This window comes from Homo sapiens, chromosome 22 (assembly GCF_000001405.40).
Source record: "Homo sapiens chromosome 22, GRCh38.p14 Primary Assembly".
NCBI classification, from domain to species: Eukaryota; Metazoa; Chordata; class Mammalia; order Primates; family Hominidae; genus Homo; species Homo sapiens.
In genome coordinates, this window is record NC_000022.11 from 35,529,622 (window position 1) to 35,554,276 (window position 24,655).

The following is a 24,655-nucleotide window of genomic DNA, read 5'->3' on the forward strand; positions in this document are numbered from 1 at the left end:
TTCTTCAGTTGTCCCACCATTCACTCATGAGGTTTATCTACCCATCCATTCATCCATCAAAACATTCCATGAGGCAGGTATTCATGGGGCTGGGGTGTGAGTTTGAGCCAGGCAGGGAACAGTTTGCAAATGAAGCTCAGCTGGGAGACTGGGAGCAGGGTCTTTGGAACTGGAGTGCCCTATCTGAGGCCTGGCAGTGCTTGCTCTCTCATCAGGCTTCTGCCTCTACTGGAGGCACATCTGTGGAGTGGTCAAATTCAGGATTACAGGAGTGTGCCAGTCCCAGGGAGGGCCAGAGAGCCCTCCAGGTTCCTTGGGGACTCCCAGGGCAGGTGTCCTCCCACCCCATGCCCTGCAAGAGAGCAGGCAGTAAACCTTTTAGCTCAACTGCACCTTCATTGTGTCATGAATGGTGGTTGATATCAGCAAGAGAATGATTCATGTGTCTTGTAGTTTCTGGAAGATCTAGAAGGCGTAAAGTCCCTGCTTAGGACACATGCTAAGAATATGCTGGAAGGGAGTCAGAAACTCATGGGCCTTGTACGTTTTCTCCAAAATTGAGCCAGGATCCTGGGGGAGGAGTGGGATTAACAAAGATCACAGGACTTACTGGGGTGGAACGAGGCTGAGACAGCAGAGACAAGGCATATTTGATAGAAAACAAAAAGTGGATGAAAAAATGACTCCCTGGATGTCTGTGGTTCACCCAGAATAAGCCGGTTTTTTCCTGGAACTTCATGAACCTGTACTTTCGCAGATGTTTTGGTCAAAACTGAAGGTTACAAGACAGAAACAAAGCAAAAGTATCTATCTCTGTAATCTTTTGTGATATAACGAAGCATCCCAAAAGTTTTTTTTTTCTTTTTTTTTGGAGACGGAGTCTCGCTCTGTGGCCCAGGCTACAGAGTAATGGCATGATCTTGGCTCACTGCAACCTCCGCCTCCCAGGTTCAAGCAATTCTCCTGCCTCAGTCTCCCAAGTAGCTGGGACTACAGGCATGCGCCACCACTCCTGGCTAATTTTTGTATTTTTTGTAGAGATGGGGTTTCACCATGTTGGCCAGGCTAATCCTGAACTCCTGACCTCAGGTGATCCACCCACCTCGGCCTCCCAAAATGCTGGGATTACAGGCGTGAGCCACTGCACTAGGCAGGCATTTCAAAACTTGATGGTGTAAAACAACAATATTTTTATGATTTCCCATGATTCTGTGGTAAGCTGGGCAAGGCTCCTGCTCCACGTGATCATGGCTGGACATGCAGGCAGCTGCATTCAGCTGGTGGCCAGAAGGTTCTAGAAGGGCGGTCAGTTCTTCTCCACATGGCCTTTCTTGCCACATGGTCTTTCCCTCTGGCAGGACAGCCTGAACTTCCTTACATGGTGGTGGCTGGACTCTGAGAGTGAAAGCAGAAGCTTCCAGGCACCCCCCACTTTTTTTTTCTTTTTTTGAGATGGGGTTCAGCTCTGTTGCCCAGGCTGGAGTACAGTGATACAATCATAGCTCACTGCAGCCTCAAACTCCTAGGTGCAAGTGATCCTCCCACCTCAGCCTTCTGAGTAGGTAGTACTACAGGTACACACTATCACAACCAGTTAATTAAAAAAAAAATTTTTTTTAGAGATGGGGTCTTGTTTTATTGCCCAGGGTGGTGTCAAACTCATAGACTTAAACGATCTCCTACCTCAGCCTCCCAAAGCACTGGGATGACAAGCATGAGCCACTGCTCCCAGCCACTTCCAGGCCTCTTGGGGCCCAGGCCTGGAATTGATACAGCCTCACTTTTGCCACATTCTATTGGTCAAAGCATGTCCCGCATTATCTCAGACTCCAGTGCAGAGAAAATAAACTCCATCTCTTGGGAGGCATCGTCAGTGGCCACATTTGCAGACAAACTTCCGTCGGAAGTTGATGGGATCATGGAGCCTAGAAAAAAAGTAAGATGTGAATGACACAGGTTTGACCTACGCACAACTTCATGGACACACACTTGGTGCCTAGAGTGAGACTCATCATACATCAGCTTAGGGCTTAAGCCAGTGTTTGCTGCGGCTGACTCTGCCTCTCTTCTACTATGCTGCTTTCCTCTTCATCAAACAACTCCATCAACTGGAGACCACTAAAAGGAAAGAGAAATACACCAAGGCCACAGTCATTAGCATCCTGGAACATTGGATTCTATTTCTGGCAGATCAGAGGTAGTTGGCAAACCTCTGCCCCCGTCTCCCCAGCTCAGCACTCTGAGGTAATGAGCCCACTGTATTATGTGGCATTAGCAGAAATGCTGGATGCTGATCAAGAGAGGAAATAGACTCCCGTCCTCCATCATCAGCAGCCTGCACCTGGGGCTTGGGGTTCAGCTGTGGCCTCAGGGGAAGGCAGCTCCCATTTATTGAGGGCCTACTGTGTGCCAAGTGCTGTGCTAGGTGCATCTGGTCCCTGCTTTTTTCTCAAGCCTCATCTTGCATTCTATTCCCTCTCTCTGATTTCCAACCAATCTGGGTCTATTTTAGTGTTTTCAAACACGCTGCTCTTTCTCTTCCAGGTCTTTGTATGTACTGTCCCCATTGCTTGATGCACTCTCCCTGTCTCTTAGTCAGGTTAACTCAAATGCATCCCTCAGACCTTAGGTTCTCTGCTTTCTCTGCTGGACTGAAAGTTTCTCTGGGGTAGTGCCACACCCCCCGAAGTACTGCTTGGCTCCCGGCCCAGTGTTCTGTAAGTATTTGTTGAATGACTGAATGATGGAGTGAATGACTCCTCACAACAGCCCGTTTTGAAAGATGGAGCAATTGAGGCTCAGAGAGAACTAGCTTGTCCAAGGCCAAGATAAGGTGAGAGGCAGAGTCAGGATTTGAACCTGGGTCTGTGTGGTGGCCAAGCTTGTGTCCTTTCGACTACACCTGGCACTCAGGGGTAAATGAAGGAGTGGACGATGGTGATGGGGAGCGGGATAAGGTGTCCGAGAAAGAGGCAAGGGCAAAGGCACCTCTGTCCCATTGCTTCCAGGTAGTAACACCAGAAATGGAGGTGGAACCTGGGGCTGAGCTACCAAGTCACACAGAGTTCGGCTAAGCCTCTGGGAGCCTGGTCTCCCAGTGTCTCTTAGACTGAGGACTTACAGGTGCCTGCTCTGTAGACAACAGGTGTCAGGCCAGCAGCTCAGCTGCTGCCAGAATCCGGAGGGTCGTGCTAATTCCCAGGTTCTTCGGTGCCCTCCAGTTAAAGGGACCCACAGAAGATTCCAGGTCAGAAACAGGAGGTGTTAGCACCAGGGAGCTGCATGGGAGGTGGTTCCTGTAGCAGAGAGAGCACTGACTCCAGAGTCCAAAAAACAGACTAAGAATCCCAGCTCCATCAATTATTGCTGACTGACTTTGCCCAGTTACTTCACCTGTCTGAGCCTCAGTCTCCTTGTCTGGAAAATGGGGATAATAAGACACTCCTCATATGGTTGCTCAGAAAGCCAAATGAGTTAACTTTGTAGCAGACTGAGAACAGGGCCTGCCTCTCCAGCTGGAGCCTGGCATAAGGAGAGCAGTTGGTAAATGTTAGGCTAGAAGGCCTATTGTTCCTCCATTGCCATGGAACCTTTGCTGCTTCAGCTTCTCTCCCACATAATAGTTTGCTCTGCGTGTTTCCCAGGGCTGTTGGAAGGATCAAATGTGATAGAGGATGGAGGAGACACCTGTCAAATCCTGTCTGAAGGGAGAAAGCTGAAGGAAGTTGTGTTGCCTTTGTGTCTCCATTTGGACCACACTGGGCCCAGGCCAAGGGACTCAATAAACACCTAAAAAGGAGCAAAAGGTCCATAGGCTTGAGAGATGATGATGATGACAACAATGATGGTGGCTATGATGATGACGCTGACGGTGATGGTGATGATGGTGGTGATGATGGTAATAATGATAGTGATGATGGTGGTGATGGTGATGATGATGATGGTGGTGATGGTGGTAAGGGTGGTGATGATAATGGTGATAATGATGATGATGGTGATGATGGGAATGATGGTGATGATGGTGATGATGACAGTGATGATGATGATGGTGATGATGGGGATGATGATGACAGTGATGATGGTGATGATGGTGATGGTGATGATGATGATAGTGATGATGGGGAAGATGATGACAGTGATGGTGGTGATGATGACGATAGCGATGATGGGGATGATGACAGTGATGATTGTGATGATGGTGATGATGATGATGGTGATGATGGGGATGATGATCACAGTGATGATGGTGATGGTGATGATGATGATGGTGATGACGGGGATGATGATGAGAGTGATGATGGTGATGATGGTGATGATGATGGTGATGATGACGGTGATGATTATGGTGATGAAGGCAATGGTGATGATGAGGATGATGGTGATAGTGATGGTAATGATGGTGATGATGACATTAGAAAGAGGGATGCAGTCCAAGCCTTAAGAAGACAACAGGGCATCATAAAAAAAGATCAAAGGATAGTTGTTCAAACACCCAGATATCTTTAAGTCCAGGCTCTGCCTCTAACTAGTCAAGTGACTTTGGGCAAGTTGTGGAATATCTCTGAGTGTCAGTTCTGCCACCTGTAAAACCGAAACAAGAACCCTGCCCTGCATGCTTCACAGGTAGCCTCCATGGGGATCACAAGCATTTTCATACACACAGGCAGCTGTGGTTACTGCTGCTGTATCCGAGAGCAGATCCTAGCCCAGGCAGCTGTTGCTATCAGTCAGACTTAGTTCAAGCTCTGTTATTTCCTTGCTCAGGTGTTGTCAGCCTCAGTTTTCTCATCTACAAATGACTCTAATAATGCTTCTCCACGTAGGGTTGTGGTCTGGCTAAAATGGGTCCATGTAATTACAGGGATCCACCCAGTGCCTGCAAAGAGTGGGGGCTCCATAAATGGTCTTCATTGTGATTGCAAGCCTCTGGTCCACTCCAGCTCTTTCTCTCCTGGCTGCCCACTCAGCTTGGCCCAACCTGGTTGATCACAGTCATCATAGTTCCCTGCAAAAATATTCTGTGGTGCATTCTCAAGGACTAGATGAGGTCACAAAGGGCTGCCCTGTATGGTTGTGTAGGTTGCTTACTGTGCAAGGGCACTCAGCTGAGGAAATAGCTTGTGCCTTTCCTTTCAAAACTGAGAGCTTTCCCTCAAAGCTGAGAGCTTTAAAGACGGCTGCCTCTGCCTGGGAAAGGAACCTTTCTTTTATTTGCATAAAAACAACACATGGGCTGGAAGGCACCTGAATCACCCGTGGTGGGATTAAACCAGCTTGGAAATGTAGACTCGGATGGGTCTCAGAGAGCACCCAACATTCTTGTTGGACAGAGGAAGAAACTGACCACTATTTATTCATTCATCCAACTTTTACTGCCCACTGATTGACAAGTACCACCTCTCCTCTCAAGAGGGCGAGGACCCCATGACAGATTATTACATGCTTTTCAAACCTATTTGGATATTGATTCTGGACATCAAGAGTTTATATAGGAAGCTCTGGCCAGATGCAGTGGCTCACACCTGTAATTTCAACACATTGGGAGGCAGAGGCAGGAAGCTCGCTTGAGCCCAGGAGTTTGAGACCAGCCTGGGCAACATAGCAAGACCCTGTCTCTACAAAAAATTTAAAAATTAGCCGGGTGTGATGGTGCATGCCTGTAATCCTAGGTATTTAGGAGCCTGAGGTGGGAGGATCGCTTGAGCCCAGCAGGTTGAGGCTGTAGTGAGCCATGATCACAACACTGCACTCCAGTGTGAACTACAGAGCAAGACCCTGTCTCCAAAAAAAAAAGAAAAAAAAAAGAGTTTACATAGCAAGTTCAGAGAGTAAAAGATGATGCATTATCCAAATCTATTGGAACCCCAAGTTTCAGATATGAGTAGCAAGAGTTCAGACAGTGAGGGTTGAATCCAAAAGCAAAAGATTTCTGTAAGGCAGCTCCATGGAGCACAGAAGAGAGAGCAACCAAGACTTCCCAGAGGCAGTGATGCTTGATTCCAGAAGGAAAGCTAGGAGCCTGCTGGCAATCCAGAGATGAGCAGCCCCTCAGGCACAGGCTCCAGCATGTGCAAAGACCTAGGGTACAGAGAGCCTGGCAAGCTCAGGGAACTACAAGTCAGTGTCTTTGGCTGGAGCATAAAGGAGGGGAGGAAGAATGCCGGGCAATGAGGGTCAGAGACGTTAAGTGGCCCATTCAAGGGTCACACAGCAAACTTCTGTTTAGTTGGGATTAGAACCCAGGCTCCTGACTGAATTGGGGCTTGCTTGGATCATCGGGCTCAGTGGGTGGGGGGAGGGGCAGCAAGAGGCAGAAATGGTCAGATGCACCGGGGGCAGGGTGTGGCTGGTTCAGCTGTGCTCCTGTTGATCTTTGGCCTGGTGGGGCACCCCTCCTCCCATGTCATTGCCAGTCTGCCTTCAGGGATGTTTGGTGAGGCCTTGAATGCCAGATGAGGTGCCAGCCTGTTCCGGCTATCTGCCCTCTGTACTGACTGGCACCTGACCCAGTGCCCCAGTCCAGCTGAGCTTATGCAGCTGGTGACCCATTGACCTCTGATGAAGTTCAAGGCTGGCACAGATGCCCAGGCCTGCCAAGGCAAGAGACTCAGTTAGAGGCTGTGTAGTCTGGGATGGTGCATTCAGCAGGAAAGAATGAGCCTGTCATGAGCATGTGTTGAACTTGGTCAAGCCACAAACCGTCTCTTTTTTTTTTTTTTTTTGAGACAGAGTCTCACTCTGTCGCCCAGGCTAGAGGGCAGTGGCGCAATCTTGGCTCACTGCAAGCTCCGCCTCCAGGGTTCATGCCATTCTGCTGCCTCAGCCTCCCGAGTAGCTGGGACTACAGGCGCCTGCCATTATGCCCAGCTAATTTTTTCTATTTTTAGTAGAGACAGGGTTTCACCCCGTTAGCCAGGGTGGTCTCGATCTCATGACCTTGCGATCTGCCTGCCTCGGCCTCCCAAAGTGCTGGGATTACAGGCGTGAGCCACCATGCCCAGCCCCATCTCTTTGTCTACAAAACAGGAAGGCTGGGCCACATGACCTCTATGGTATCGCCAACTTCAATCTTCTGGCCAGTGCTTCTCAAACTTTGGCTTGCATCAGAATCACCAGGAGGGCTGGTTAAAACCAGGTGGCCTGGCCTCACTCCCAAAGCTTCAGGTTCACCGGCTTAGAGTGAGGCCTGAGATTCTGCATTTCCAAGTCCCAGATGATGCTGATGCTGCTGGTCCAGGGACCACACTTTGAGAATTACTGCTCTAGCAACCCTGGGTGCACATTAGAATTACTTAGGGGAGCTTTAAACCGTATGGTGATGAAACCCAACTCCAGAGCAATTAAATCAGCATCTCTGAGTGGGGAGCCTGGGTTTTGGTATCTTTTAAAAGCTCCCCTAGGTGATTCTAATGCGCCGCCAGCATTAGGAACTGCTGTTCTAGAAAAGCAGCCTGACGTGTGCTTTTTTTCCTATTGGAATAATTTCTCTTGGACCCCAGCTCAGCCTCTCATTAGCTGCCTGGTTTTGAACAGTCTCCCTGAACCTCAGTTTCCCCTTCTGTAAGTGGGGCTGTTAGGAGGACTAAGTGAAACTCTGCTTCACTGTGTCTGTCCACCCTTCCCTGTGTCCAAGGAGAGCTTGTACGTTTCTTCTGCTCTGAGACTGTTTGGCTGAACACAATTCAATAAGCATTTATTAAAAACTTATAATGTGTGAGATGCTGCCCTTAATGATGTGAGAATAAAAGGATGAATCAGGCTCGGTCCCCACTCAAAAGAGCTCACATGCTAATGGGGGTGACGAGGCATGTGTCCAAAATATGAAGCAGGAAGTAACACCGGCTACGGAGGAAGTAATCATGGTGAAGGCCATTATGTGTGAAGCACTTCGCAGTTTATTTTAATCCTCCCAACAACTCCACGAGGCAGCTACTATTGTAACACCCACTTTTACAGGCCAAGAAACTGAGGCTTAAAGAGAGGACCAGTTACCCACAGCACAAGAGCCAGGCTTTGGTGCTGTGGGAGCCCAGAGGAGGAGATTCACACCATTAGAAAGGCTGGGAGTAAGTTTTGTGGGGAGAAGTGTGGACACAGTGCTTTGAAGAATGTGTAGGAGTTTGATGGGTAAATACAGAGAAAAGGGTATCCCTGATAAGAAACCAGCATACACAAGCTCAGAGGAGGGATAGCTTCTCTTCTTTAGAGACCCGGAAGTGATTTGATTTTGCTGGAATGGAGGTTGAGTGCAGGGCATGGTGGGAATCACGTCCTGGTTGGAGGCCTTGTTCGCTAGGATAAGGAATTTAGATTTTTAGACTTTATATCTTTTTTTTTTTTTTGAGACAGAGTCTTGCTCCGTCGCCCAGGCTAGAGCACAGTGACACGATCTCGGCTCACTGCAACCTCTGCCTCCTGGATACAAGCAATTCTCATGTCCCAGCCTCCCGAGTAGCTGGAATTATAGGCGCACACCACCACGCCTGGGTAGTTTTTATATTTTTAGTATAAAATTATTATATTTTATATTTTTAGTAGTAGGGTTTTGCTATGTTGGCCAGGCTGGTCTCAAACTATTGGCCTCAAGTGATCCTCCCATCTTGGCCTCCCAAAGTGCTGGGATTATAGGCGTGAGCCACCACACCCAGCCCAAGATTTTATATCTTAAGCAATGGGGAGCCCTTGAAAACTCTTGAGCAGGAGGTGGCAGTTTTAGAACAGGGCTAAAATGGTCACAGGTTATATGGGAGAGAGAGGGTGACAGGGAGCCCAGGGACGAAGGGGGCAGCTATGACAAAGGGTCTGATGAGGGATGATAAAGCAAGTGGGTGGGGAGGGGGGAAGGGGAAAATAGGCACATGTGAGAAGTGTGCTGTTGCTACACAAAGCTTCCTTGGGCATCAGTTGATCCCTTATGTGTATTTGCTTATTGACTGAGCCCTACCATACCAGGAGTGGGGGAGGGCAGGAGCAGAAGACAGAGGCTGGGGCAAGTGGACCTCCCAGGGTTCTCACTCCACATGCAGCTCCCCTCGCGACTGGGATATGGTCAGTGGGACATGACCCATTCTGTTGAACAACTCTGCAGAAGCAGGGAGCAATTGGTTCTTGGGCCGTCTGCTACATTTCCGTGATGGAGGTGGCAGAGCTGGCCCAGCGACCTGAGTCTTCCTGACCCCAGCCTTCCAGGTGAAGCGTGCCACCCTGCTCACCTCCCACTGCCAAGTTCACTGCCAGCTCAAGGCTCACAGCCTGTGTGTGTCATGCCCAGCACAAACCCTCCCGGGCTGAAGCCAGTTCCCAGAGGCAAAGTCTGGATGTGGAAAATGCACCAGGCTGCAATCCTGCCACTTGCCACCAGGTGACTTTGGGCACATCCCCTTAGCCCCTCTGTGGCCTAAATTGGGGCATTAAACACAATCAGGTAGTACAGGTACTGCACCCTCCACCCCCACCTGCCCCATCCTCTCTGGTTAACTTTCCTGGAGAATCTCAAGATGTTACAGAGACAAGCAAAGCAAGTCACTTTCCATATTCAAAGTCCCAGGCCATTTTAGTACTTCTGTCATTCTGTGGACCCATCAATATCATACCCATTTTAGAGATGGCACAACCAGGACCCAGAGACTTTTCATGACGGCCCAGGGTCAGATATCTAGGTAGTTACGGAGACAGGACTTGAACGCCAGTCTCTCAGCCAATGGAGCTGACCCCTCAGGTGCCCTCCCAGACCCCTGCGTCCTCTCATGAGGTAGGGAGGCCAGATCTGGGTTGGGGGTGAGGCTGGCAGACATCCCTGAGGTCCAGGGATCTGGAACTGAGGGACACAGACACAGCATCCCATCCCTTTGCTGTATCACACAACGAGAACATTCTCTTTTAAGCCTCCTGATATGTGAAGGAGAAAGTCTCTGTTAGGTGCTAATGGGTATTTAACACCTCTCCAAACCTTGCCAATCTCCCTTTTTCACTGAGGGCACACATCTCAAGCCTTGGCAGGCCACGGTTTCCAGCTGGAATTTAATAACCTTGCTTTGTTTTCACTGTGCTTATTTTAACTCTTACTTTCTATTTATGGCAAGTGATACTGATTTCCCATTTAAGGCAGTGATATAATGATTCTCTAAAAAAACGTGTTTAAGGGGTGGGGAAAGTGGATCTGATATTTTAAAAAATATATTAAGTAATAAGTGGTGTGGAGATATGGCCCAGTGAGAAGGCCCGATGTCTGGCCTAGGTCAAGCCCCTCATTTAAAGGTGGGGAGGGAGAATGCAGGCAGGAGACGCAATGCTCAAGGCACCTGGTGTGTCCCCGTCGGCCGTGGTCTCTGAGACTCGCATGCCTCGAAGACCTCTGGCTACTAAGCCTAGGTGACTCCCCGCCCCTCTGGGCGACACGTGCATGGCCCATGTGCCAGTCCGCAGGGTCCCGTGGGCACCGTGAGCTCGGGAGGGAGGCGGCGGCTGGGACAGGCAGGTTGGACACCTGGGAGGGCACCCGGGGACTTCCGCGAAGGAGGAGGGCGCTGGAACCGTGGCGCGCTCGACCTGGCCGGGCGCAAGCCGCTGGAGACCCCGGCCGAGTGGGCAGGCGGCCGGACCCCATGCGGGTCACCTGCGGCCAGGCCGGGCGTGCGTGTGAGCGCGTGCGCAGACGTCAGCCTCCGAGGCCCGGGCCGCCTTCTGGGCAAGGTGCGCGCGCCCAGCGGCCCCGGCCCCACGCGCCCGGACACGCGGAACCGCAGACCGCGGCGCCCCGGAGGCCGCGAAAGGGATGGGCGGGGCCGGGCCGCGGGACCCGCCTCCCATTGGCCGGGCGCCGGGGCGAGGCGGGGCGCCGGGGTGGGGCGGGGCGAGCGGGCTCTGGGGGGCAGACGCTGGCGCTGGGCGGCGGGAGGCGCGGCTCGCGGGGGGCCGAAGGAGCAGGTGGGCGACGCTCGCAGGGGCGCGGGAGGGTGCCGCTGGGACCGTCATCAGGAGCCTGGGGTTCTGCCACCTTTCGGAGGGATCAGCGACCTCTTCGCCCTGCGGGTGACAGTGGGGCATCTGCCTGCGAGAGGGGGAAGGAGGGAGAACCCAGGGCCACACACAAAGTTCTCCTCATCTGGGGACAGGAGGAGGTGAAGGAGGAGGAGCCGGGTTGATGCTAACTTGGAGCTGCGAAACCTTGGGGCGGCGTTCAAGGCCCCCTCCCACACGCGCGCAGAGCAGAGCGCCCTGCTCCTCCTTCAGCTGCTGGCGTCGCCGCGCGGGGAGAAAGAAGCCGTCCCTCCGGCGCTGGGAGAGCTGCAGAGCCGCGGGCAGAGAAGGAGGCCGCGGCCGAGCCCGGCAGCCCGATACCCCCCATCCGAGCGACCCCCTTTGGGGCAGGCGGAGAAGGTGGCATAGGCGACCAGGAGGGTTCGCCCACCTGGGACACGCACCCACAGTCACCTCCAAAGGACCCCCCCTCCCCAAGTCTCTAGGAGCTGCTCCTTCATCACTGGAGTCGCCCCTACCTCTCTGCCCCCAGCCCGAGAGCCCCAGGCGGGGACCCCCGGATCGGACGTCCCCAAGCCTCCGGGCACCTGGCTCAGCAGGAGGCCCCCGGCTCGGGGCAGGGCAGGGCCGGCGGCGGCGAGCCGGAGCCCGCCCCCTGCCCGGGCCCCGCCGAGCCCTCGGAGCCCACCCATGGGGCACCTGCCCCTTGCGCCTCCTTGCCCGGCCGCGCCCAGCCCGGCGTCCCGAGCAGCGCAGGGGAGGATCCCCGCGCAGTGACCCGGGAGCCACCACAGACTCTGGGAGGCTCGGCGGCTGGAGCAGCAGGCAGCTCCCCGCAGCTCCCGGCGCTTCCAGGCAGCTCTCTGAGCCGTGCCAGAGGCCCGGCCCGCCATTCCCAGGTAGGAGACGCCCCAACAGAGCTGGGCATCTGGGGGAAGTGGAGCAGCCGGGAAGAAAGGGTAGAGGCTTGGAGGAGGAAAGCTCAGTGATTCCTTAGATGACCAGAGAAAGTGAAATTGATTGAGCACCTACTATGTGCCGGGATCGTCTGGCAACTTTGCATACCTAGAGAGAATTAAATTCGTTGAGCACCTACTGTATGTGTCAAACTGAGTGCTATACCCTTGACTTAATCCCAGGAAAGAAAGATTTATTGAGCTTCTACTATGTGCTAGTTTTGGTGCCACAGGCTTTGCATTTAAAGAGCTAGAGTAATAGCCCATTTAAATAGGAGGAAACGGGGGCTCAGGGAAGACGAGTCAACTACCACAAACACTCCTGTCCCTCTTCTGGAGCTGGCTGCAGCCTGCATTACCTGGAGGTGGGGAAGGAAGATTAAGAAGCTCCTTCGTTATCCAGAGTTCTTGAGCTTTTTCTGGGTTGGTGCAGAGTGAGTTTCCTGGATGATTCCCTTCCCAGGAGGGGTTTCCTGTAACTTAGCTGTCTTGGAGGGCCCGGAAGGCAGCTCTGGAGGCCTCTCTGTGCCCTCCCCTCCCCTTGTCCCCAGCACCAGGAGGATGACAGGGGATGTTGTCCAAGACCTCATGGAAGGTGGGAAGCCAGGCTGGGAGGGAGCAGCCAGGTCAGGAGCCAGTGAATCAAGCCTCCTGTGGTGTCAGAGACAAGATGGGGTCCCTGCAAGACCTGCGCCTGCATTCCAGTCCAGCCTCACCAGGCTGCTCTAGGCAGCCCCACGACTGCCAAGATAAAGTGCCACGAAGAAAAGAACCCAGCATGTGTTCAGGTTTGCTGCGGGTCAAGAGCTGGGTCAGCCTCCAGACTTATTGGAAACCCAGGGCCACACAGGGGGTTTATGTCTTACCATTAACAGAGGAATAACCTGAGCCCCAGGAAGCCAAGTCATTTGCCCAGGGCTGCCGGGCTGGTGAGAGGCAGAGTTGGCCTGCCAGAAGTGGATGCCTGCCTACCTTCTACCACCTGAGCTGCCAAGGGTGGTGGGGTTGGCTTTGCCAAGCTCCCGGACTCTCAGAGTGGCAGCTGGAAGCCAGTGATGGCAATGTGCGTGTCCAAAGAGGCTGAGTGTGCACTGATGGAGGAGGCATGGGGGTGTGGAGGAGGGGCAGTGCAGTGAAACAGGCTCTGGGGCATACACCGGGAGGACACGTCCAGACTCTTGTCCTGCTGCCTGTGCCCGTGTGACCCCTTCATCTTTCAGGCAGGCCCTGGGAGAGAGGCTCAAGGGAGAAGTGGTGAATCCACAGGTGCACTTGCTCAGAGGTGGCTGGCAGGGTTAGGGGAGAATCCTGGGAGGTGCCTGCCCCCTTTCCGCTCCGCTGCCTGCAGGGAGAGAGGGAGTGAGAATATAGTATGTCTCGGCGTCATCCCCCCGCCTGATGCCAGCTGAGGCTTCACTGAGACAGACAGTGTTTTGGAAAAGACCAGTTTTGGCTGGGGGTGGGTTTTCATAGAGTTAAGAGCCCAGACTTTGAAGCCAAACAGCCTGGTTCTGATCCCAGCCCAGCTAGTCATCTGCTGTGTGAACTGGGGCAAGTGACTTAACCTCTCTGAGCATCAGTGTCCCCATCAGTCAAGTGGGCTGATGGATGCCTTCCTGGCTGTGGTTACTGTGCCCCCAGGATGGCGTCCCCTCATCTCTGCTCTGGGAACTTTCTGGCTTCCACCTGTCCTCAGAATGGCCCTGTGATGGGGTCAGTAGTCACAGTATGTGCATTCAGATACCTGTGCCGCTAGGGGGTCTCCGTTGAATTTCCTGCCTCTCTGAGCCTCCTCTCTCTGATTCCTTACTTCCCCTCTCTGATTCCCTGCCTCCTCTCTCTGACTTCCTGAAATCCATTCAGTCACTGATATTGGACTCTAAATTCCCAAAGGGCTCTTCAAACTCATCCCTGTCTGCTCCTCGCTGTATGAGGTCAGCCTGGCTGAGGATGGAGAAGGGAGAACAGGCTGCAGAGGAGAGATGTGCCTACGAGGGTGCCCATGGTGCCACCTCTGGGGGAAGAGAGGGAAGAAAGATGTGGAGGCAGGAGGCGGAGCCCACAGAGGCACTGTCCCCTGGCGTCCAGGTGTCCAGATGTCTCACACAGCCCCACGTGGCTCAGGCCATGTGAAGAATCAGTCTTCTCTCAGAGATAAAAACCACAGAGGATTTTTTTTCTCTTTTTCCCCACCCTGATTCCCTGTCTCTTATTTCTGACTCCTTGCCTCCTCTATCTGTCACCTTGCCTCCTCTCTCTGACTCTTTGCCTCCTCTCTGACTCCCTGCCTCCTCTCTCTGTCTCCCTGCCTCCTCTGTCTGACTCCCTGCCTCCCCTCTCTGTCTCACTGCCTCCTCTCTCTGACTCTCTGCCTCCTCTCTCTGACTCCCTGCCTCCTCTCTCTGATTCCCTGCCTCTTTGACCCTCTGCCTCCTCTCTTTGACTCCCTGCCTCCTCTCTCCGATTCTCTGCGTCTTTGACTCCCTGCCTCCTCTCTCTGACTCCCTGAAGCTCATTCAGTCATTGCTATCAACTCGTCTGTACCAAGCTCTAGGCTGGAGGCTGGGCAGGGCAATGATGGAGACAAATACTGTCCCTGGGAGCTTCTGGCCCCTTTCCCATCCTGTTTAGACAGAAGTGACCGCCAGCAGAGTCAAGCTGTCTGCAGAAGGACTTGGGGAGGGGGCTGTCATGGGGTAGGGCTTCTTTCCCCCCATCTCTGCTGAAGGCCCAGGCTGGCTGAGACAGCCCCGGCAGAGACTGAGAAGGGCTCCCTGCTGTGGTCTGGCAGCCCCCTCTCCACCCTCCTCTCTCTCATTTCCTGCCTCCCACACGTATGCCCTGGGCACCTCATCAGGGCTGCCCTAGGGGAGGGCCCTCCTTGGCACAGCCCCTGGGCCAGTCAGGTGGTTGAGGCTGAGGAGAGAAGGTCCCAGAGTGGGGCTTCAGGCAAACCCAAAGACAGAGCCCTTTGCCATTTGATGAATGCACAGACCCTTTATTGAGCCCCTGCTCTGTTCATGGCATGGCAGTTTTGTGGGATAAATTCAAAGACAGCTTTAGGTGGGAGCTGGGTGGGGGATGTGGGGGTCTTAGGCTTGAACTACTACCCAGCCTCCTTTGTTAACCAAGTAGCTAGTCACGTAGCCTTCTGAGCTCGGGGCAGACCACCTGGGATCAAACCTCTCCTCTGCTGGTTACTGGCTGTGCAACTGTAAGCAAGTAATTTAACCTCTCTGTGCCTCAGTTTCCTCATCTGTAAATTGGAGAATAACACCACCTGCTTTCTGGGGTTATGAAGGGAGAAATAGGTTAACATGTGTGCAGCACTTAGAACACTCTGGCATATTTTAGCTGCAAAATGAATGCCAGCTATGATTATTTCTATACTTAGTGCGGGGCTTGGCACACTGCATGGGCTCAAGTGGCAGCAGTTGTCGTCCTTGTGGCTCCAGGCCTGGGGTCCGCCGTGTGCTGAGCTGGCTTATTGTGCACGTCCCTTTGTGATTCATTCATCGAAGTCACATTAGTAGCTTAGAAGTGACCGTAGTGGGAGCATTTACGCCATGGAAATTGGCAATAGGGCTTTTAACAAAGGTATTTTTGAGAGCCGGTTTCCTGCACAGAGGCTGGTAGTTGGGCAGGGTGAGCAGATCCAGATGTGTGCCAGGGACTCGCACGCAGGCAATCTCTCCACCTCCAGTGGCCATCTCAGACCTTAGCTTCATGATAGCCAGGAAGCGATGGTGTTGGAAAGCGCCTTGGGTCAATGGGCGAGGCACTCAAGGAAACCGACTTGGGGCATCCTGGGGTGGGGACCGAGTTTGGGCACATACAGCCCTTTGTGTGAATTTAAAAACAGTGCCTTTTCCTCTACACAAGATGCCCTTTCGTCTGGGATACAGCCCCCACCTCTGGGATGCAGCCCCCACTTGCCCACCCAGCCATGCGCCTTGTGCAGTATCCAACCTGCACAACCTGTGGCAGCCTGTGGAAGACCTAGGGGATTGATATTTCAGCAGGCCTGTGCCCATTTGCAGTTCAGGGGCTGGAAAGCTCTCCTCTGGAGAGGGGAGGGATTCCTGCAAGGGTGAGGAGATCAGAGAGGCCTTCAGAGAGCAGGTGGCACTTGAGCCAGACCCTGAAACATAAGGGGAAGAGGGTGTTCTGCAGAGGGGTGGCATGAGCAAAGGAGTGGAGGCTGATCTCAGCAGAGCTCAAACTGACGAGGGTGACTGGGGTCAGGGGTTCTGGGGCGGGGATTCTGGTGGGCGCTAAGGTAGGAAAGGAGGGAGGGCTGGGCTGTGAAGAGCCTTTGGGGTGAGCCTGGTGGAGCCTGCGGGTTTGCTTATACAAGAGCTTGGATCCATGTCGGCCTCTTTCATGAGGTCAAGAGGCTCCCATAGAAAGCTCTGGGTTTGCCCCAGAACCATAACCCTTGGAGTTGGGAGGGAAGCTTGAGCCAGCCATGGGTCGTTCCCCATTCCACATCCTCTACTCCGGGCCTCTGGGTCTCCTGGAGGCAAGTAAACACCTAGGGCCTGGGAGGCAAAAATATCCGGGCAGGTCATGGAGCGGAGGGAGCCCGCCAGATGCAGAGCACAGGTCTAAAGGTGGGTCCTCCTGAGGTGGCTGCAGGAGCAACCCCAGGCATTGGGCTTGGAGCATGCGGTGTGGACATAGCCTTCCCTTCTTCCCAGGAGGGCTGAATGGCCACAGAACCACCCCCTGCCCCAGGCTTAAGAAATGCATGCTAGTGCCTTCCCCATGTCTTATCCTAGAATCACAGGCTCCGGGAAAGCCAGATGGATGAACCAGGGAAAGAACGGATTCTCACCATAGATACCATTTTTGAGATTTCACCATGTGCTGAGCCCTTTGCAACAACTCTATGAATTGGGCTCATTTTGCAGATGAGAAAAGTGACTTCTAGAGAGGTTAAGCTACTAGCCCAAGATCAGTAGCTAGAGGCAAGGCAAGGATTCAAATCCCAGGAGTCCGGTGCTTGCATAAATGAAAGGATGAATGAACGGATATTGAGTGAGTGAGTGGATGAAGGAAGGAGTAAAGGAGAGGGCATGAATGAATGAGAGGGTAGAACTCCAAGACCCCTTAGAACCTCGTCTGATGTTCCCATTTTACAGACAGAAAACTGAGTCCTAGACAGAGGCCTAGAGGAGGCCAAGAGGTGGTGGGGCCAGGTCGGGGGGGCCCTGATGCCTGCTTCTCTCGCTTTGTTGCAGCCCCGAGCCATGATGAAGACTTTGTCCAGCGGGAACTGCACGCTCAGTGTGCCCGCCAAAAACTCATACCGCATGGTGGTGCTGGGTGCCTCTCGGGTGGGCAAGAGCTCCATCGTGTCTCGCTTCCTCAATGGCCGCTTTGAGGACCAGTACACACCCACCATCGAGGACTTCCACCGTAAGGTATACAACATCCGCGGCGACATGTACCAGCTCGACATCCTGGATACCTCTGGCAACCACCCCTTCCCCGCCATGCGCAGGCTGTCCATCCTCACAGGTGAGGCCCACTGGTGCCTGGGCTGGGGCGGCAGGGCCAGGGCATGGGTGCGGAGTGTGCTGGGCACTTGGCAGTTTGCATAGACTTGCATAGCCATCGTCTGAGACAGGCGTCATCCCTGCACAATGAGGCTCAGAGAGGTTTTGCCATGTGCTGGAAATAGTGATGAAGTCGGGGGCCCCGATTCCATTCTGTTAGACTCCAGATCGATTACTCATGGCTGTCGGGGCCGCCTTCCAGATCAGGAGCTGATACCAGCATGCCCCAGGGATATTCCTTTCTAGGGAACAGAATGATGCCCTGGCTGCTGCTTTCCTTCTCCGGAAGATGACCCACCAGAGCTCCAGGGCCCAAGGTCAGTCCACGGGGCTCAGGTCTCCCACACCCCAGGCCTTTGCCACCTCCTAGAGAGGTAAGGGCAGGACCCAGGCAGTGATCACCAAAGGGAAGGGGGCTTGGTCATGGTCATAGTGATGGTGATGGCACTAGCTGACACTTATCAGAAGCTATGGGCCTGGCCCTGTTCTTAGAGCTTGGCATGTAGTTTTTTTTGAAACAGAGTCTCGCTCTGTCACCCAGGCTGGAGTGCAGTGGCGCGATCTCGGCTCACTGCAACCTCTGCCTCCCGGGTTCAAGCGATTCTCCTGCCTCAGTCCCCCAAGTAGCTGGGACTACAGGCATGTGCCACCATGCCCGGCTAATTTTTTGTATTTTTACTAGAGACGGGATTTCACCATGTTAGCCAGGATGGTCTCGATCTCCTGACCTCGTGATCTGCCTACCTCAGCCTCCCAAAGTGCTGAGATTACAGGCGTCAGCCACCGCGGCCAGCCAGCATGTAGTTATTTAACCCTCATAGTAAATAGTTATTCATTCCCTTTTTACAAGTGGGGAAACTGAAGCCCAGAGAGGTTAAGTAACTCACTCCAGTGGTAGCACAGCTCGTAAAGGCAGTCTGCTTTTGTGCTTTCAGACAAAGCCATACCACAGCCTCTCAGCCCTGCTGGGAAGGGTGAGGAGGGACAGGGAGGTTGGGGGGAAGAAGGGGTGAGTGGAGCTGAGGGGCTGTGCCCTTGTTTACACTGCATTAGCATGGTAGCTAAGAGGACAAGCCCGGGACCCAGCACCTGGGTGTGAGCCCTGGTTCCGCTGCTTCCTGGCTTTGTACCTCGAGGCAAGGGATTTTATCTCCTTGTGTCTCAGCACTCTCATCTGTAAGACTGCACCACATCAACACTCATCCTAAAGGGACTGTGAGACTTAAATGAATGAATATATGTAAGGCGCTTGGTGAGCAGATAGTAAATGCACAATAAATCCCCAAGTCTTCTGTTGAGTCAGCATTTGCAAGTGGGCCTGCTACGGGTTACACGATCATTTCCCAAGTCACGCCCCTGAAGTTGCTGAGCAGGGATAAGGGAAGGAGTGAGCAGGCAACTCTCTAGGCATCATTCAGATAACCCCCCAACTGAGGTACTTCTATACAGAGAAACCCATGCCACTCCCAGCCCTGCTGCCGCCTTGAGGCCAAGACTGAGGCTGCGGGGTGGCCCCTCCTTGAGTGCTTTCTCTTCCAGGCTGGCTTTTCCGAGCATCTGACCCAGACAGCAGTCAAGTTCTCCGCTCCACCCCGAGTTTTGGAGAAGGGGCATGTAGATAGGAGAGCCCTGGGTCGACCTGTGTTCGAATCCTTGCTGGGCCTCTTGGCTTAAATGTGTGACCAGAGGCACATGCATCCTGTCTGAGTCTCAGCCTCCCCAGCCACACAGTGGGCTTAACCTCATACCCCGCAGGGAGGCTGTGAGGACTGCAAGAAGGCTTGTGGCGGGAGCTTCCAGCACGTGACGGGTATTGCATTGGTGTCAGCTCCCCCAGCCTTGGGGAGGGGACTGGGTACCCGCTGCAATGAATAAGGCTAATGACAGAGGGAAGGAGAGGGGAGATGTAGAGAGGAAGCACATGCATATTTTCAGCATTAATTTTCAGTGACACAAGTAATACCCAAACACACCCTCCTGCAAACGCTACAGATAAAGCTAATGCCCCTTTGACCCATGTCCCCAATCCCAGGCTCCTGCCCCTGCCCCGGAGGTGGCCACCCTGGCAGTCTGGCATGGAGCCTTCCGGGCCTCCGTGACTACACCGGCATTCGTATTTGTATCCCCACAATGGAGAGTATTTTTGTCTGTCTCTTTTTTATGGCGCATATCATTCTGAGCACAGCTGTCTGATGCTTGTTTTTTTTTCACACACCAACCCGTGCCTCATTTTCCAACCTGGTGGAACCTCATTTTTTCAACCTCATTTTCCTGCTGCTCAGGAAATTCTGAAAGCCATTAATTCCACTGCCAGCTCTTCTTCCAGCTGCCAGACGGGCCGATCTCTGATGCTTGGCATCGCAGTCTCGCATTTGAATATGTCAAGGCCACGAGTCCTCAGGGGCCCCGGATTAGCCTAACGGGATGGGGTTTGGCAGCCCAAGCAGGAAGAGTTGCCAAGCTGACGCTGCCTCGCAAGTGCCTTTCAGAAGAGCCCACACTGCAGTTCCCTCCATCACCTCCCATCCATTCAGGCTTCCTTGGTTAACACTGACTGTGTGCCAGGCCCTGGGGAGACCAGGACGAGTGGGTGATGGAACCCTTCTCTGTGCCCGAGCTGTTTGGAGCACACCTTTGATCTGGACACCATTCTGAATGTGCCATGTGCCATTAAATGGGGGTAAATGATGTGCTCTGGGGGTGCAGAGGAAGGTGGCAGCCATTCTGCCAGAAGCTGGAACTGGTTGCTTCTCTTCTCAAGAATTTGGGCCAATTGCTGATTCCTCTGGGCCTCAGTTTCCTCATCTGTGAGACAGGGATCTTGTCACACCACAAGGCTATCAAGAGTTTGAGCAAAAGTGGTTGGACGCAGTGGCTCATGCCTGTAATCCCAGCTCTTTGGGAGGCCGAGGTGGGCAGATCTCTTGAGGTCAGGAGTTCAAGACCAGCCTGGCTAACACAGTGAAACACCGTCTCTACTAAAAAATACAAAAAATTAGCCAGGTGTGGTGATGGGCACCTGTAATCCCAGTTACTCGGGAGGCTGAGGCAGGAGAATCTCTTGAACCCAGGAGGTGGAGGTTGCAGTGAGCTGAGATCTTGCCATTGCATTCCAGGCTGGGCAACAAGAGTGAAACTCTGTCTCAGAAAATAAATAAATAAATAAATAAAAAATAGCTAGGCATGGTGACAGGCGCCTGTAATCCCAGCTGCTCCAGAGGCTGAGGCAGGAGAATCGCTTAAACCCAGGAGGTGGAAGTTGCAGTGAGCCAAGATCACACCACTGCACTCCAGCCTGGGCCACAGAGAAAGACTCCATCTCAAAAAAAAAAAAAAAAAAAAAAAAGTTTAAGCAAAAGTGAGGAAGGTGCTTATTAAAAGCTGGAAATCAGGATGGAGGTACCAGTCCAGACAGCCTCCCCACCACCCCACCGTCTCCACAGCAGCCCCTGTTTCAGATTCACAAGCCTGCCTTGAGTGATGCAGTGAGTTATCCTGGAGGCAGTGTGGGCCTTGGAGGCCAGCACTCACTTTTTCATCCTATGATTTATTTGAGAAGCAGAGAGCACCTACCGGGTGCCAGGCACGAGCTAGGTGAGAACAGAATCAGGTAGAAATCTCAGCCTAGCCACACGGAAGCTGTGTGATCTTGGGCAGGCTGCATACCCTTTCTGAGCCTCAGTTTGCTCACCTGTAATGCAAAGGTAACAAAATCTTGACAGAGGCATAGTGAGGAATCAAGAGAACAACGGGCCTGGAGCATACACCCAGTGCTTAGCCCCCAGTAGGCCCTCACTCTCATCATTACTGACACCTGAGGTCACTGAGCATGTGCCACTGTCCATTCATTATCTTGCATAACTCCCAAAATCATCCTGCAAGGTAATATTTCATCTTCATGAAACAGACAGAGAAACTGAGGTTACAGAGGTTTCGTGATCTGCCCAAGTCTGCTGGCAGCTAAGCGGATGAGGCCAGATGCAAACTAGGCATTGAGCAAGACAGGCAGGACCCCTGCTCTCATAGAAATGATTTTTATTATTATCTGAACACAGTCCACACAAGTGACCTACCCCTCTCCAGCCCTGCAAAGAAATGTGAAGTGAGTTAACTGTATTTGAACCAAGTGGTCCACGTGTTAGCTATGCGACTGTGAACAGGGGCTTCAACCCCCTCAGCCTCAGTTTCCTGTCCTGGAAAATAATCGCAGGGAGAATAATCGCAGCTACCCCGAAGAGTCGCTGTGTAGGTTAAAGCAGTTATGCCGCATAACTGCTTCAGGGCACCTGTGACTCCCAGCTCTTAGGGCTGATGTTCTGTGGCCAGAGGAGGGCAGGGGTTGCAGCTGGCCGGTGAACTCACTACCTGGGCTCTCTCCCTGCAGGGGATGTCTTCATCCTGGTGTTCAGCCTGGATAACCGGGAGTCCTTCGATGAGGTCAAGCGCCTTCAGAAGCAGATCCTGGAGGTCAAGTCCTGCCTGAAGAACAAGACCAAGGAGGCGGCGGAGCTGCCCATGGTCATCTGTGGCAACAAGAACGACCACGGCGAGCTGTGCCGCCAGGTGCCCACCACCGAGGCCGAGCTGCTGGTGTCGGGCGACGAGAACTGCGCCTACTTCGAGGTGTCGGCCAAGAAGAACACCAACGTGGACGAGATGTTCTACGTGCTCTTCAGCATGGCCAAGCTGCCACACGAGATGAGCCCCGCCCTGCATCGCAAGATCTCCGTGCAGTACGGTGACGCCTTCCACCCCAGGCCCTTCTGCATGCGCCGCGTCAAGGAGATGGACGCCTATGGCATGGTCTCGCCCTTCGCCCGCCGCCCCAGCGTCAACAGTGACCTCAAGTACATCAAGGCCAAGGTCCTTCGGGAAGGCCAGGCCCGTGAGAGGGACAAGTGCACCATCCAGTGAGCGAGGGATGCTGGGGCGGGGCTTGGCCAGTGCCTTCAGGGAGGTGGCCCCAGATGCCCACTGTGCGCATCTCCCCACCGAGGCCCCGGCAGCAGTCTTGTTCACAGACCTTAGGCACCAGACTGGAGGCCCCCGGGCGCTGGCCTCCGCACATTCGTCTGCCTTCTCACAGCTTTCCTGAGTCCGCTTGTCCACAGCTCCTTGGTGGTTTCATCTCCTCTGTGGGAGGACACATCTCTGCAGCCTCAAGAGTTAGGCAGAGACTCAAGTTACACCTTCCTCTCCTGGGGTTGGAAGAAATGTTGATGCCAGAGGGGTGAGGATTGCTGCGTCATATGGAGCCTCCTGGGACAAGCCTCAGGATGAAAAGGACACAGAAGGCCAGATGAGAAAGGTCTCCTCTCTCCTGGCATAACACCCAGCTTGGTTTGGGTGGCAGCTGGGAGAACTTCTCTCCCAGCCCTGCAACTCTTACGCTCTGGTTCAGCTGCCTCTGCACCCCCTCCCACCCCCAGCACACACACAAGTTGGCCCCCAGCTGCGCCTGACATTGAGCCAGTGGACTCTGTGTCTGAAGGGGGCGTGGCCACACCTCCTAGACCACGCCCACCACTTAGACCACGCCCACCTCCTGACCGCGTTCCTCAGCCTCCTCTCCTAGGTCCCTCCGCCCGACAGTTGTGCTTTGTTGTGGTTGCAGCTGTTTTCGTGTCATGTATAGTAGTAGAAATGGAAATCATTGTACTGTAAAAGCCTAGTGACTCCCTCCTTGGCCAGGCCCTCACCCAGTTCAGATCCACGGCCTCCACCCGGGACGCCTTCCTCCTCTGCTCCCAAACAGGGTTTCCGTGGCCTGTTTGCAGCTAGACATTGACCTCCGCCATTGAGCTCCACGGTTTACAGACAATTGCACAAGCGTGGGGTGGGCAGGCCAGGACTGCTTTTTTTTAATGCTCCCATTTCACAGAGGATACCACCGAGACTCGGAGGGGACACGATGAGCACCAGGCCCCACCTTTGTCCCCTAGCAAATTCAGGGTACAGCTCCACCTAGAACCAGGCTGCCCTCTACTGTGCTCGTTCCTCAAGCATTTATTAAGCACCTACTGGGTGCTGGGTTCACTGTGTCCTAGGAAACCAAGAGGGTCCCCAGTCCTGGCCTCTGCCCGCCCCTGCTGCCCCACCACCTTCTGCACACACAGCGGTGGGGAGGCGGGGAGGAGCAGCTGGGACCCAGAACTGAGCCTGGGAGGGATCCGACAGAAAAGCTCAGGGCGGGTCTTCTCCTTGTGCCCGGGATTGGGCTATGCTGGGTACCACCATGTACTCAGGCATGGTGGGTTTTGAACCCATAAACCAAAGGCCCTTGTCATCAGCTCTTAACAAGTATATTTTGTATTTTAATCTCTCTAAACATATTGAAGTTTTAGGGCCCTAAGGAACCTTAGTGATCTTCTATTGGGTCTTTCTGAGGTTCAGAGAGGGTAAGTAACTTCCTCCAGGTCACACAGCAAGTCTGTGGGTGGCAGAAGCAAGCTAGCGCTGGGCATTCAGTACATACCACGATGTGCTCCCTCTCTTGATGCTTGGCCCCTGGGGCCTTCAGGGCTTTGGGACATCTTGTCCTCAACCCTCTCCCTAGATCAGTCTGTGAGGGTCCCTGTAGATATTGTGTACACCATGCCCATGTATATACAAGTACACACAGATGTACACACAGATGTACACATGCTCCAGCCCCAGCTCTGCATACCTGCACCTGCACCCCAGCCTTGGCCCCTGCCTGCGTCTGTGCTCAAAGCAGCAGCTCCAACCCTGCCTCTGTCCCCTTCCCCACCCACTGCCTGAGCCTTCTGAGCAGACCAGGTACCTTGGCTGCACCGGTGTGTGGCCCGCTCTCACCCAGGCACAGCCCCGCCACCATGGATCTCCGTGTACACTATCAATAAAAGTGGGTTTGTTACAAAGCCGTGTCCTTGCCCATGTGTATTTTTTGTATTTCCAAGAGGAGGTGTGCCCCTTTCCAGACCAAAGCTGGCCTTTCCCTCCCAAAATGCACCTGCCGTGTGCCCTGGCCCTGAGGGTCAGCACTGAGTCCACCTTCAAGTGTAAGTGTGGGGAGAGGGGGATAAGTCCCCCAGATGGAAGGTGATGCCCTCCTTCAGCCTGGCCCTCCTGGGTCCTCCGGGTGTGTGTACCGAGGTGTCTGTGTCCACAAAGAAGGGGCCCCCGTGGACCATTAGC

General features: G+C 53.5%; 1 protein-coding gene across 6 annotated transcripts, besides 6 other annotated features; it reads left to right on the forward strand.

Moving 5' to 3' along the window:
- The first annotated feature begins 3,184 nt into the window (after nt 1–3,184).
- Nucleotides 3,185–24,378, forward strand: RASD2 (RASD family member 2). 6 transcript variants are annotated; one of them, XM_011530040.3, is made up of 4 exons: nt 11,886–12,724; nt 12,812–12,999; nt 17,180–17,459; nt 21,882–24,378. In XM_011530040.3, exons 3-4 carry the CDS (start codon nt 17,189–17,191, stop codon nt 22,409–22,411), a joined length of 801 nt encoding a protein of 266 aa, XP_011528342.1. In that variant the 5' UTR covers nt 11,886–12,724; nt 12,812–12,999; nt 17,180–17,188; the 3' UTR covers nt 22,412–24,378. The 6 variants fall into 6 exon arrangements, with proteins under 6 accessions (NP_001363444.1, NP_001363445.1, NP_001353654.1 ...); NM_001376515.1 differs by lacking the exons at nt 11,886–12,724; nt 12,812–12,999 and adding an exon at nt 3,185–3,806; NM_001376516.1 differs by lacking the exons at nt 11,886–12,724; nt 12,812–12,999 and adding an exon at nt 10,279–10,371.
- Nucleotides 9,872–10,434: an enhancer, noted in NCBI's record as "H3K4me1 hESC enhancer chr22:35935540-35936102 (GRCh37/hg19 assembly coordinates)". NCBI's record gives its function as "activates a minimal SCP1, AML or CMV promoter by ChIP-STARR-seq in naive H9 embryonic stem cells {active_cell/tissue: H9 hESC(naive)}" and the evidence as "EXISTENCE:reporter gene assay evidence [ECO:0000049][PMID:30033119]".
- Nucleotides 10,435–10,997: an enhancer, noted in NCBI's record as "H3K4me1 hESC enhancer chr22:35936103-35936665 (GRCh37/hg19 assembly coordinates)". NCBI's record gives its function as "activates a minimal SCP1, AML or CMV promoter by ChIP-STARR-seq in naive H9 embryonic stem cells {active_cell/tissue: H9 hESC(naive)}" and the evidence as "EXISTENCE:reporter gene assay evidence [ECO:0000049][PMID:30033119]".
- Nucleotides 10,682–10,901: a silencer, noted in NCBI's record as "silent region_13657". NCBI's record gives its function as "represses an Ori minimal core promoter by ATAC-STARR-seq in GM12878 lymphoblastoid cells {active_cell/tissue: GM12878}" and the evidence as "EXISTENCE:reporter gene assay evidence [ECO:0000049][PMID:35858748]".
- Nucleotides 10,998–11,560: an enhancer, noted in NCBI's record as "H3K4me1 hESC enhancer chr22:35936666-35937228 (GRCh37/hg19 assembly coordinates)". NCBI's record gives its function as "activates a minimal SCP1, AML or CMV promoter by ChIP-STARR-seq in naive H9 embryonic stem cells {active_cell/tissue: H9 hESC(naive)}" and the evidence as "EXISTENCE:reporter gene assay evidence [ECO:0000049][PMID:30033119]".
- Nucleotides 19,422–20,132: an enhancer, noted in NCBI's record as "H3K4me1 hESC enhancer chr22:35945090-35945800 (GRCh37/hg19 assembly coordinates)". NCBI's record gives its function as "activates a minimal SCP1, AML or CMV promoter by ChIP-STARR-seq in naive H9 embryonic stem cells {active_cell/tissue: H9 hESC(naive)}" and the evidence as "EXISTENCE:reporter gene assay evidence [ECO:0000049][PMID:30033119]".
- Nucleotides 22,669–23,648: an enhancer, noted in NCBI's record as "H3K27ac-H3K4me1 hESC enhancer chr22:35948337-35949316 (GRCh37/hg19 assembly coordinates)". NCBI's record gives its function as "activates a minimal SCP1, AML or CMV promoter by ChIP-STARR-seq in primed H9 embryonic stem cells {active_cell/tissue: H9 hESC(primed)}" and the evidence as "EXISTENCE:reporter gene assay evidence [ECO:0000049][PMID:30033119]".
- Nucleotides 24,379–24,655: the final 277 nt, after the last annotated feature.

What these genes read in the sequence shown, in the direction of transcription:
- RASD2 (NM_001376515.1), top strand. Translation starts at nt 17,189, where the DNA reads ATGATGAAGACTTTGTCCAGCGGGAACTGCACGCTCAGTGTGCCCGCC. An exon ending in CAGGCTGTCCATCCTCACAG is followed by an intron (nt 17,460 to 21,881) that starts GTGAGGCCCACT and finishes CTCTCCCTGCAG; the next exon opens with GGGATGTCTTCATCCTGGTG.